This window comes from Homo sapiens, chromosome X, assembly GCF_000001405.40.
Source record: "Homo sapiens chromosome X, GRCh38.p14 Primary Assembly".
In the NCBI taxonomy this organism is placed as follows: domain Eukaryota; kingdom Metazoa; phylum Chordata; class Mammalia; order Primates; family Hominidae; genus Homo; species Homo sapiens.
The window spans coordinates 1,756,453-1,770,053 of NC_000023.11; the positions used below are offsets into that span (position 1 = coordinate 1,756,453).

At 48.7% G+C, this 13,601-nt stretch overlaps 1 annotated feature.

The window, feature by feature from the left end:
* Positions 8,488-8,988: an enhancer, noted in NCBI's record as "H3K4me1 hESC enhancer chrX:1883833-1884333 (GRCh37/hg19 assembly coordinates)". NCBI's record gives its function as "activates a minimal SCP1, AML or CMV promoter by ChIP-STARR-seq in naive H9 embryonic stem cells {active_cell/tissue: H9 hESC(naive)}" and the evidence as "EXISTENCE:reporter gene assay evidence [ECO:0000049][PMID:30033119]".

Sequence of the window (13,601 nt, forward strand, 5' to 3'; positions counted from 1 at the left end):
GGGCAGAGGTGGCAGTGAGCCAAGATCGTGCCATTGCACTCTAGCCTGGGCAACAAGAGCAAAACTCTCTCTCAAAACAAAACAAACAAACAAAAAGATTTAAAGTGGCCGGGTGTGGTGGCTCACGCCTGTAATCCCAGCATTTTGGGCGGCCGAGGCAGGCGGCTCACCTGAGGTCAGGAGTTCAAGACCAGCCTGGCCAACATAGAGAAACCCTGTCTCTACTAAAAATACAAAAATTAGCTGAGCCTGGTGGTGGGCAACTGTAGTCCCAGCTACTTGGGAGGCTGAGGCAGGAGAATCCCTTGAACCCGGGAGGCGGAGGTTGCAGTGAGCTGAGATCTCGCCACTGCACTCCAGCCTTGGAGACAGAGTGAGACTCTGTCTTAAAATAAATAAATAAATAAATAAATGCAATCTGTCTTAAAATAAATAAATACATAAAAAAGTTTAAAACATGTTTAACAAGCATGAATACATATATATGGTCATGTGAGAGTGAGTATACAAGCAGATAATGGTCTGGCCATCTACATAGATAAAACTCTGACCCACAACCTGCCAAGAAAACCAACCCCTTATCCACTGTAACCAGCGCAGGAAGTCACCTGCTGTGTACAAGTCAGACATGCAGGATGTCAGATTACTATCTCCAGCAAACAGTCCAGGAAGGCAAACAATATCTTCAGGCACCATGGGCCCTAAACAAGATTTGATTCATAACCACCAGATTTCCTAATGTTTGCCCCTGATTTAAAATTAGATGGCTGGCCGTGGTGGCTCACACCTGTAATCCCAGCACTTTGGGAGGCCGAGGCGGGCAGATCACGAGGTTAGGAGATTGAGACCATCCTGGCTAACATGGTGAAACCCCATCTCCACTAAAAATACAAAAAAAAAGTAAACTGGCATGGTGGCAGGTGCCTGTAGTCCCAGCTACTTGGGAGGCTGAGGCAGGAGAATGGCATGAACCCGGGAGGCGGAGCTTGCAGTGAGCAGAGATCATGCCACTGCACTCCAGCCTGGGTGACAGAGCGAGACTCTGTCTCAAAAAAAAAAAAAAAAAATTAGAAAGCTGAAGAGACACCGTCCTAACCAATCCCAGGGGTGCCCCACTTCTCATGAGCCTCCTACAGCTTTAGAATGTGGACAGCCTCTAATTAGGGCATGCCTGCAGTCTTCCTGATTCTCCTATCTGGGGTTCCTGCTTTTACATTTTTGCTAAATGCAAGGGACGGTGGCTGCCTCCCTTGGTATAGCAAGCCCTGGATAAATCGTTTCTTCTTGCTCGCTGTTGGGTGAGCTTCTATTATTTCCATAGTGACCAGTCATCATCACCTTGTCATCAGCAGCATGTCAATGTAGCGTGGAAAGTGGGGCTGGTGGATGGAGATGTCTTTTGCAGAGCCAGGGATTCCACGTGGAGCATTTACATTGGGACATTCACTGTTGAGGGTGCTTCCCCTCTCCCCTGCAGACCACCCCCACCAAGGGTCAACCCAAGACCCCCAAGCTCACTTTCTTTCCTCCAGGTCTTCACTCTGATGTCAAGTCGTTTCATCTCTCTGAGTTCCTCTTTCTTTATTTGCTAGAAAGGGATCCTGCCCTCCCTTTCCTATGACTCTTAGGTTTGTTCTGTGATAAGGTGATTCAAGGGGTAGACACTGCTTCATAAGCTGACCCACAGTGACTGCTGGAAATGAAAGAGGTTGGCTGGGCTCAGTGCTTCATGCCTGTAGTCCCAGCACCTTGGAAGGCCATGGTGGGAGCATTGCTTAAAGCTGGGAGGATCGTTGGAAGCCTGGGCAACATGGCAAGACACTCATCTCTACAAAAATAAAAATAAATTATCCAGGTGTGGTGGTGTGTGCTTGTAGTCCCAGCTACTCTGACGGCTGAAGTAGGAGAATCCCTTGAGCCTAGGTGTTTGAGACTGCAGTGAGCTAGGATTGCATCACCTCACTCTAGCCTGGACAACACAGTGAGACCCTACCTTCAAAAAAAAGAAATTAAAAAAACAGCTCACCCTTCATTTCCACACCACTGATGTTGGCAGTTGTGATGCTAGAAGTGAAATTGGTCCTGTTCTCTCTTTGCAAATAATTTCATTTAGACTTGAGGGGGTCTCCTTCTAGCTCCTAGTTTCTTTGTGTATCTGTGTGTGTGTGTGTCAGAGAGAGAGAGCAAGACAGAGAGAGAGAGACAAGGATATTTTTCTCTTTTGGTGTTCAGTGGATAGGCGTCCAGGAAGGAGTGTTTGCTGGTTTTCTGGGGAGTAAAATAAAAACAAATGTGGATTTAGATAAGAAAGAGATTTGAAAAGACAATTACAGGCTGGGTGTGGTGGCTCATGCCTGGAATCCCAGCACTTTGGGAGGCTGCGGTGGATCACTTGAGGTCAGGAGTTCAAGACTATCCTGGCCAACATGGTGAAACCTTGTCTCTACTTAAAAAAAAAAAAAAAGAAAAAGAAATAGCCGGGCGTGGTAGTACACAGCTAAAATCCCAGCTACTCCAAAGGCTGAGGCTGGAGAATCACTTGAACCTGGGAGGTGAAGTTTGCAGTGAGCCGAGATTGCACCACTGCACTCTAGCCTGGGCAACAGAGCGAGACCCTGCCTCAAAAACAAAACAACAACAAAACGATAAAAGAAAAGAAAAGACAATTGCAGTAGGGAGATTGCTTGACTGTAAGATTTGTAAGCATCTCAAAGACTCAGGCAGAAACAAATTTCATTTATAGGGAGAGGCATGTCAGAATAATTGATCAGGAAATACTTCCCCTTGTCGTTTGTTGATTTTTCAGGAGGGGTTGTTGAAGAGGGGCTGTCCCACGTTCCAACGTACGAGGGTGTTCAGAGGAGCTGGGGGTGGGTGGGGGAGGAGAAAACTTCAAGTTTGGTCCACAAGCACTTTATTCCTATTGATTGTGGGGATGAACAGGTCAGCTAGACATTTACAAAGGAAAGAAGGAATTTGGAGGCCAGGCACTGTGGCTCACACTTATAATCCCAGCACTTTGGGAGGCCAATGCGGGTGGATAACCTGAGGTCAGGAGTTCAAGACCAGCCTGGCCAATATGGTGAAACCCGGTCTCTATTAAAACTACAATGTTAGCTCGGCCTGGTGGAGCATGCCTGTAATCCCAGCTACTCGGGAGGCTGAGACAGAGTTGCTTGAACCCTGGAGGCAGAGGTTGCAGTGAACCAAGATCACGCTATTGCATTCCGGCCTGGGCAACAAGAGCATAACTCTGTCTCAAAAAAATAAAAAATAAATAAAAATTTAAGAAGAAAATAAAAAGAAGGGATTTGGAGAGTCTGGTCTGGCCTTGCTCTGGAGATCAAGAGGAAGGCAGCCATGCATCTTTCCTAAGTCATGAGAGAAAGGCAGGAGTTTACAGCAAGTCACTTCTCAGAATACAAAAAGGTAAGGGGGATTGAGACTATCCTGGCTAATGCAGTGAAACCCCATCTATACAACAACAAAAAATTAGTCAGATGTGGTGGTGCATGCCTGTAGTCCCAGCTACTTGGGAGAGGCAGGAGAATGGCGTGAACCCAGGAGGCAGAGGTTTCTTCCTTCCTTCCTTCCCTCCCTCCTTCCCTCCTTCCTTCCCTCCTTCCTTCCTTCCCTCCCTCCTTCCCTCCTTCCTTCCCCTTCTCCTTCCTTCCTTCCTTCCTTCTTTCCTTCCTTCTTTCCTTCCTTCTTTCCTTCCTTCCCCCCTTCTTTCTCTCCTCTCTCTTTCTTTCTCTCTCTTTCTCTCTCTCTCTTTCTTTCTTTGATGGAGTCTCACTCTGTCACCCAGCCTGGAGTGAAATGGCACATTCTTGGCTCACTGAAACGCCCACCTCCCAGGTTCAAGTGATTCTTCTGCTTCAGCCTCCTGAGTAGCTGGGACTACAAGCGTGCACCACCACACCCAGCTAATTTCTGTATTTTTAGTAGAGATGGGGTTTCAACATGTTGGCCTGGCTGGTCTTGAACTCCTGACCTCAGGCGATCTGCCCATGTCGGCCGCCCACAATGGTGGGATTACAGGCATGAGCCACCCCACCTGGCCCAGGTAGGGGGATTTCTTACCCTTCACTGTTTTCTAGAAACACAGTGCTCAGAAAACGTTCAATAGTGTCTGGGACAAGATACTTAGGTCATTTGAGGGTCTTTTAAATAAAAGAATAAAAAATTACGTATACACATTTAGACATGAAAGAGAATTTTTGTTTAGAATAAAATCACAGCAAATTGCAAAATCTGGAAAAGCTGATGGGCAGCCTCCAAAATCACAGGATTTACAGAACTAACATTGTTATGCATTCACCGTCAGACCCAATCCTATTTCCCCTACAACTTCTAGCCGGAAGGTCTTTGATCAGCGATTTTTGTCTCATCCATACAGGCACGGGAAAGGTATTTCATTCTTTCCTGTAGCACAGCTGACTGTCATTTATTTATTTTTCAGACTTTAGAAAAGTATCTTTGAGCCGGGCGCGGTGGCTCACGCCTGTAATCCCAGCACTTTGGGAGGCCGAGGCGGGCGGATCACAGGGTGAGGAGATCGAGACCATCCTGGTTAACATAGTGAAACCCCATATCTACAATAAAATACAAAAAAAATAGCCAGGCGTGGTGGCGGACACCTGTAATCCCAGCTACGTGGGAGGCTGAGGCAGGAGAATCGCTTGAACCCAGGAGGTGGAGGTTGCAGTGAGCCGAGATCACACCACTGCACTCCAGCCTGGGCAACAGAGCAAGACTCCGTCTCAAAAAAAAATAATTGAGCATCGTAATTTCTTATTTATTTTGAGACGGAGTCTTGCTGTTTTGCCCAGGCTGGAGTATAATGGTGCAATCTCGGCTTACTGCAACCCCCGCCTCGCGGGTGCAAGTGATTCTCCTGCCTCAGCCTCCCGAGTAGCTGGGACTACAGGCACCTACCAGCACATCCGGCTAATTTTTTTTTTGTATCTTTACTAGAGATGGGGTTTTTCCGTGTTGGTCAGTCTGGTCTTGAACTCCTGACCTCAGGTGATCCAGCCATCTCGGCCTCCCGAAGTGCTGGGGTTACAGGTGTGGGGTACTGCACCCAGCCAATTTCTGTTTTTTGTTTTTTGTTTTTTTTTTGAGATGGAGTCTTGCCCTGTCGCCAGGCTAGAGTGCAGTGGTGCGATCTCGGCTCACTGCAACCCCCGCCTCCTGGGTGCAAGCGATTCTCCTGCCTCAGCCTCCTGAGTAGCTGGGACTACAGGCCCCTGCCAGCACATCCGGCTAATTTTTTTTTTTGTATTTTTACTAGCGATGGGGTTTTTCTGTGTTGGTCAGTCTGGTCTTGAACTCCTGACCTCAAGTGATCCAGCCATCTCAGCCTCCCAAAGTGCTGGGGTTACTTACAGGTGTGGGTCCCTGCACCCAGCCAATTTGTTTTTTTGTTTGTTTGTTTGTTTGAGATGGAGTCTTGCTCTGTCACCAGGCTGGAGTGCACTGGTGCGATCTCGGCTCGCTGCAACCTCCGCCCTCCCGGGTTCATGCCATTCTCCTGACTCAGCCTCCCAAGTAGCTGGGATTACAGGAACCTGCCATCAAGTCCGGCTAATTTTTTTTTGTATTTTTAGTAGAGAAGGGGTTTTTCCATGTTGGTTCAGCCTGGTCTTGAACTCCTGACCTCAGGTGATCTACCCCCTCAGCCTCCCACAGTGCTAGGATTACAGGCGTGAGCTACTGCACCCATGTCAACTATGGGGAAAAGCTCATTAATTTTCTCTTCTATAAAATTTGAAAGATTTCTTGACGTTGCAGTTTCTTTTCCCATGATCATTTATCTCAATCTCATTTGAATTGACAGCATTCATTAGCTCGTTGGTTCTCAGTGTTCTCAGAGTAGCAGTATTTCAAACATTGTATGCTACCTACGTTGATGTTGTACTTTTTCCTAAATTGCTAAAAAATAGAAGGGTTTTTGCAATGAGATAATATGAGTGACTTTTTTTTTTTTTTTTTTTTTTTTTTTTGGAGATGGAGTCTCACTTTGCCATTCAGGCTGGAGTGCAGTGGTGCGATCTCGGCTCACTGCAACCTCTGCATCCCGGGTTCAAGCAATTCTCCTGCCTCAGCCTCCCGAGTAGCTGGTACTACAGGTGCCTGCCACCACGCCCAGCTAATTTTTGTATTTTTAGTAGAGATGGGCTTTCACCATGTTGGCCAGGATGGTCTCAATCTCTTGACCTCGTGATTCACCCACCTTGGCCTCCCAAAGTGCTGGGATCACAGGTGTGAGCCATGGTGCCCGGCCTCTTTTTCTTCTTTTTGTTCTTTTGAGGCTGCGAATGGATTGGATAAGGCCATCCCATGTTGGAGAAAATGATCTCCCTTTCTCAGGCTACCAATTCAATTTCTAACATCACTGGGAAGCACCCTCACAGATACCCCAGAGTGACATTCAATCAGACATCTAAACACCCCATGATCCAGTCAAGTTAACACATAATATTGTTCCAACCTCATTCTAGATATAAGAAGGGCCCTAAATGCAATGACAGCTGTTCTAAGAGACAGAAGAGGAGACGCAGACACAGAGGAGAAGGCCACGTGTAGACAGAGGCAGAGACTGCAGTGATGTGGCCACAAGCCCAGGGATGCCTGGAGCCCCCAGGAGCTGGGAGAGGCAGGAAGGATCCTCCTCTAGAGCCTCCAGAAGGAACTGGATACAATTGGAATGGGTTATATGGTGATCCCCAAAATATATGTTTATTTCCTTTTCCCCAGAACCTATAAATGCAATCTTACTTGGAAACAGGATCTCTGCAAATGTAATTAGTGAAGGATCTTGAAATAAAACCTGTCCTAGATTAGGGGGTCCTAAATGCAAGGACAGGTGTCCTTCTAAACACAGAAGGGGAGACCCAGACAGAGGAGAAGGCCACATGGAGACAGAGACTGGAGTGGTGTAGCCACGAGCCCAGGAATGCTGGGAGCCCCTGGGAGCTGGGAGAGGCAGGAAGGATCCTCCCCTAGAGACTCCAGAGGGAGCCCAGCCCTAACATACCTTCATCTCAGACTCCTGGTATCCAGGATTATGTGAGCATACATTTCCATTTTAAGCCTTGAAGGTTGTGAAATCTGCCACGGCTGCCCTGAAGGTTGTGAAATCTGCCACGGCTGCCTTGAAGGTTGTGAAATTGCTCACGGCTGCCTTGAAGGTTGTGAAATTGCTCACGGCTGCCTTGAAGGTTGTGAAATTGCTCACGGCTGCCTTGAAGGTTGTGCAATTGCTCACGGCTGCCTTGAAGGTTGTGAAATTGGTCACGGCTGCCTTGAAGGTTGTGAAATTGGTCACGGCTGCCTTGAAGGTTGTGAAATTGCTCACGGCTGCCTTGAAGGTTGTGCAATTGCTCACGGCTGCCTTGAAGGTTGTGAAATTGCTCACGGCTGCCTTGAAGGTTGTGCAATTGCTCACGGCTGCCTTGAAGGTTGTGCAATTGCTCACGGCTGCCTTGAAGGTTGTGAAATTGGTCACGGCTGCCTTGAAGGTTGTGAAATTGGTCACGGCTGCCTTGAAGGTTGTGAAATTGCTCACGGCTGCCTTGAAGGTTGTGCAATTGCTCACGGCTGCCTTGAAGGTTGTGAAATTGCTCACGGCTGCCTTGAAGGTTGTGAAATTGCTCACGGCTGCCTTGAAGGTTGTGCAATTGCTCACGGCTGCCTTGAAGGTTGTGAAATTGGTCACGGCTGCCTTGAAGGTTGTGAAATTGGTCACGGCTGCCTTGAAGGTTGTGAAATTGCTCACGGCTGCCTTGAAGGTTGTGCAATTGCTCACGGCTGCCTTGAAGGTTGTGAAATTGCTCACGGCTGCCTTGAAGGTTGTGAAATTGCTCACGGCTGCCTTGAAGGTTGTGAAATTGCTCACGGCTGCCTTGAAGGTTGTGCAATTGCTCACGGCTGCCTTGAAGGTTGTGAAATTGCTCACGGCTGCCTTGAAGGTTGTGAAATTGCTCACGGCTGCCTTGAAGGTTGTGAAATTGCTCACGGCTGCCTTGAAGGTTGTGCAATTGCTCACGGCTGCCTTGAAGGTTGTGAAATTGCTCACGGCTGCCTTGAAGGTTGTGAAATTGCTCACGGCTGCCTTGAAGGTTGTGAAATTGCTCACGGCTGCCTTGAAGGTTGTGCAATTGCTCACGGCTGCCTTGAAGGTTGTGCAATTGCTCACGGCTGCCTTGAAGGTTGTGAAATTGCTCACGGCTGCCTTGAAGGTTGTGCAATTGCTCACGGCTGCCTTGAAGGTTGTGAAATTGGTCACGGCTGCCTTGAAGGTTGTGAAATTGGTCACGGCTGCCTTGAAGGTTGTGAAATTGCTCACGGCTGCCTTGAAGGTTGTGAAATTGCTCACGGCTGCCTTGAAGGTTGTGCAATTGCTCACGGCTGCCTTGAAGGTTGTGCAATTGCTCACGGCTGCCTTGAAGGTTGCGAAAGTGGTCACGGCTGCCTTGAAGGTTGCGAAATTGCTCACGGCTGCCTTGAAGGTTGCGAAATTGCTCACGGCTGCCTTGAAGGTTGCGAAATTGCTCACGGCTGCCTTGAAGGTTGCGAAATTGCTCACGGCTGCCTTGAAGGTTGCGAAATTGCTCACGGCTGCCTTGAAGGTTGTGAAATTGCTCACGGCTGCCTTGAAGGTTGTGAAATTTGCCACGTCTGACTTGAAGGTTGTGAAATTGGTCACGGCTACCTTGAAGGTTGTGAAATTGGTCACGGCTGCCACTGCAAACTTTCGTATGGATAGAAGACCCCCTTTCTGACTCATCTGCACGTTCTGGTCTGGAATTTGGGATGGCAGTGAACCAGCTGCCCAGTGTATACTGATCTCTCCCCTTGTCTGTGTGTCTAGGAATGGAACAGCCATACAGCCAAGAAACCCACCACAAAGAGTGTTCTTGAATGTCCCAAACTGCAGGCAACTTTTCTGCTCTGGCCCATGGGCATGTCCTGGGAAGCTTGTGGTACAGAAAATCCAGCTTACAGCTTCCATCCGGGTAGAGCTGACCTTCCAAAGAGTGGAAGCTGTCTCAGTTCCTCGCCTGGTTGGGGGCAGATATCTGAAGGCATGGATGCTAGAGAGATTTCTCCTTGGCTAAGGTCCAAGGTTATTTTCTGGGTACTTCCTTGCTCGTGATATTATTTTGTGAGCTCTCTAAATGCTTTGGAGTGTTGAGCTTTACCCTGTTGTGTGTTGTGTATTAAGAAACGCAATTAGATCCCGTCTCTACAAAAGAAGAAAAAGTAGTGAGGTATGGCAGTGTGTGCACCTGTGGTCTCAGCTACTCTGGAGGCTGAGGTGGGAGGATCGCTTGAGGCTAGGAGGTCGAGGTTGCAGTGAGCTATGATTGCACCACTGCACTCCAGCCTGAGTGACAGAGCAAGACCCATCTCTTAAAAAAAAAAATGCAGCTGGGTGCGGCGGCTCATGCCTATAATCCCAGCACTTTGGGAGGCTGATGCGGGTGGATCTCCTCAGCTCAGGAGTTCGAGACATGGTGAAACCCCATCTCTACTAAAATACAAAAATTAGCTGGGTGTGGTGGTGCATGCCTGTAGCCTCAGCTACTTGGGAGGCTGAGGTGGGAGGATCGCTTGAGGCTAGGAGATCGAGGCTGCAGTGAGCTATGATTGCACCACTGCACTCTAGCCTGGGTGACAGAGCAAGATCTTGTCGCAAAACAAAAGCAAAACAAAACAAAAAAAAATGAAAACAAAAACAAAACACATTCATGCTTCCTCCCCCAGGATTGCAAGTGTGTTGTCTGGGAGCCGTTTCCTTTTTCCTCCCTTTTCCTTCACACCTCATTGAAACTGGCAATTGTACTTCCTACTCCCCAGGAATTTTTCCATTTCTACCACTCTCCGTCTCTCCACTACCCCCTGTTGCAAGCTCCTTGGCTGGGACACTCTCAGCGTGGGATACATCAGCCCATCTCCTCCCTGCTCTGTTGCCTTGGGGATGTGCCACCTCCCACCAACCACCTTGCCTCTCCATGCTGCGCACTCTTCACTCAGAAACTCGAGATGATGGCCGGGTGCAGTGGCTCACGCCTGTCATCCCAGCCCTTTGGGAGGCCGAGGCGGGTGGATCACAAGATCAGGAGATCAAGACCATCCTGGCTAACGTGGTGAAACCCCGTCTCTACTAAAAATACAAAAAATTAGCCAGGCGTGGTGGCAGGTGCCTATAGTCCCAGCTACTCGGAAGGCTGAGGCAGGAGAATGGCGTGAACCCAGGAGGCGGAGGTTGCAGTGAGCCAAGATCGTGCCACTGCACTCCAGCCTGGGTGACAGAGCGAGACTCCGTCTCAAAAAAATAAACTCGACATGATGATGGCTGTGTGTTCACCTGAGAGGTCCAGAGCTCCCCAGATAAACCACGTCATGCAAAAAAATGCTTTGAGACAACGACAGGCAAGCCCAGGTGGTACAACAGGACACAGAAACCATCCCAAAACAAACACTCATGATTCTCCTGTATGACACCAGGAGCCAGCTGTTTCTCACATGCCCCAGCCACCTCCCAGTCCCAAACCTTTCTTCCTTGGCCAGCTCCATGTCTTCCATTTGGAATGTCTTCCAGGGGTCAAGTCTGGGGTTCCCTGGGGTCCCCAGTTGGCCTCACACCGTGGATGCCCTGGGTATTGGCTCTGGACGATGACTTTTGAGCAGCTTTTCTGACAGCATCCACCACCTGTGGCTGCCTCCCTGGCAGAGGCGGTAACCATGGAAACGGGGAAGCCAGCCAAGGATCATCTGTGATGGGAGAGTGGGAGGGAAAAGGAGGCAGACAAAGGGGGCAGGCATCGGTTCATGAGTCGAAGGGCGTCGGCACCTGAGTGTGGTAGGCCTTTTACAATTCACACCTCCCCAGCGTGTCTACAGGTATCACGTCCCAGGCCCCCAGGAGGTAAGGAGGAGGGTGAGAGCTCCTCACATCTGTGGCTCCGTGGAAGAGGACGCGTCCTGTGCCTCCACACCACACCCTTGACATTGGCTGTTGTGATGCTCTGGGTATAATCAGTCCCTGCTCCAACTCTTTCCATGGCACTGAAGCCTGGATAACACAGTGTAAGACCTCATCTCTAAAAATAAGAAGGAGGCCAGGCACGGTGGCTTAAGCCTGTCATCCTAGCACTTCGGGAGGCCAAGTCGGGCTGATCACAAGGTCAGGAGATCGAGACCATCCTGCCTAACAAGGTGAAACCCCATCTCTACTAAAATACAAAAAAATTAGCTGGGCGTGGTGGCGTTTGCCTGTAATCCCAGCTATTCAGAAGGCTGAGGCAGGAGAATCGCTTGAACCTAGGAGGCAGAGGTTGCAGTGAGCCAAGATCGCACCACTGCACTCCAGCCTGGGCGACAGAGTGAGACTCTGTCTCAAAAAAAAAAAAAAAAAAAAGAATGAATACACAATAAGTCAACAAATAAATAAATACCTCCAGAGTGACTGCAGCCCAGAGGGCTTCTTTCTGTTTTTTTCTAGCACCATCCTATGTGGGGGTCTCCAAGAGCAATCCTCAGGTGTTGTGATACGGCTGCTAGGAGGTCTCCTGGGATGCTACATATAGTTATACTCACACTATGATTTCTTCTTATTTTTTATTCATTTTATTTTATTGTTTGTTTTAAGACAGAGTCTTGCTCTGTCACCCAGGCTGGAGTGCAGTGGCGCAATCTCTACTCACTGCAACCTCTGCCTCCTGGGTTCAAGTGACCCTCCTGCCTCAGCCTCCCAAGTAGCTGGGATAACAGGCACGCAGTCACTACATCCGGCTAATTTTTGCATTTTTTTAGTAGAGGTGGGGTTTTTCCATGTTGGCCAGGCTGGTCTTAAACTTCTGACCGCAGGTGATCTGCCTGCCTCGGCCTCCCAAAGTGCTGGGATTATAGGTGTGAGCCACCACGCCCAGCCTATTCATTTATTTGTTATTTGTTTATTTTTATTTTTAGAGATGGGGTCTCAGTCTGTGGCCCAGGCTGCAGTGAAGTGGAAGGAGGAAAAGAATGGGACCTATTTCACCTGGAGTGTCGCATCCACCAATATCAATGCTGCTGAAATGAAGGAGATTCTCTCTCTCTTTCTCTCTAGAGGTGGGGTCTCTGTGGCCCAGGCTGTAGTGCAGTGGGGCCATCATGGCTCACTGTAGGCTTGGCCCCCAGCCTGAAGCAATCCTCCCATCTCAGCCTCCCAAATAGGCCTGACTGCAGATGCTTACCACCACACCTGGCTAAATTTTCTATTTTTATTATTTTATTTTATTTTTTGAGATGGATTCTTGCTCTGTCGCCCAGGCTGCAGTGAAGTGGCATGATCTTGGCTCACTGCAACCTCTGCCTACCGGGTTCAAGTGATGCTCCTGCCTCAGCCTCCCAAGTAGCTGAGACTACAGGTGTGCACCACCACGCCCGGCTAATTTTTGTATTTTTAGTAGAGACGGGGTTTCACAATGTAGGCTAGGATGGTCTGGATCTCTTGATCTCATGATCCACCCTCCTTGGCCTCCCAAAGTGCTGGGACTACAGGCGTGAGCCACTGTGCCCAGCCCCCCTCCCCCACCCTTTTTTTTAAAAGTCTTCTGCAGTGGGCTGAAGTATGTCTCTGCAAAGTTTATGTCCACCAGAACCTCAGAAGGGAAACTTATTTGGAAATAAAGTCTTCGTGGACGTCGTTAAGATGAGGTTGCACTGGAATAGAGTGGGCCCTAAATCCAATGACTGGAGCCCTTGTAAGAAAAAAAGAGAACACACAAAGGAGAAGATGGAGACAGAGGTTGGACTGACACATCTATGAACCAAATGTGTTTGTCTGTTTTTATGCTGCTATAAGAAATACCTGAGTACCTGAGACTCAGGTATTTCTTGCTGCTATAAGAAATACCTGAGTACCTGAGACTGAGTAATTTATTAAGGAAAGAGGTTGAATCAACTCACACTTCCACATAGCTGGGAAAGTCTCAGGAAACTTACAGTCATGGCAGAAGTCAAAGGGGAAGCAAGCACTTCTTCACAAGCTGGTAGGAGAGACAGAGAGTGAGGGGGGAATAGCTAAACACTTATAAAATCATGAGATCGGCCGGCACGTGGTGGCCCATGCCTGCAATCCCAGCCCTTTGGGAGGCTGAGGCGGGTGGGTCACCTGAGGTCAGGAGTTCAAGACCAACCTGACTTACATGGAGAAACACTGTCTCTACTAAAAATACAAAATTAGCCAGGCACAGTGGCTCATGCCTGTAATCCCAGCTACTTGGGAGGCTGAGGCAGGAGAATTGCTTGAACCCGGGAGGCGGAGGTTGCAGTGAGCCAAGATCATGCCATTGCACTCCAGCCTGGGCAACAATAGTGAAACTCCATCTCAAAAACAAAAAACAAAAAAAAAAGAAAACAAAATCATATCTCATGAGCATTCACTCACTATCATGAGAACAGCATGGGGGAAACTGCCTCCCTGATCCAGTCACCTCCCACCAGTTCCCTCCTTGTACACCTGGGGATTTGACATGAGATTTGGGTGGGGGCACAGATGCAAACTATATCGCCAGGCATGCTGAATTAACCGCTTCCCATACCCA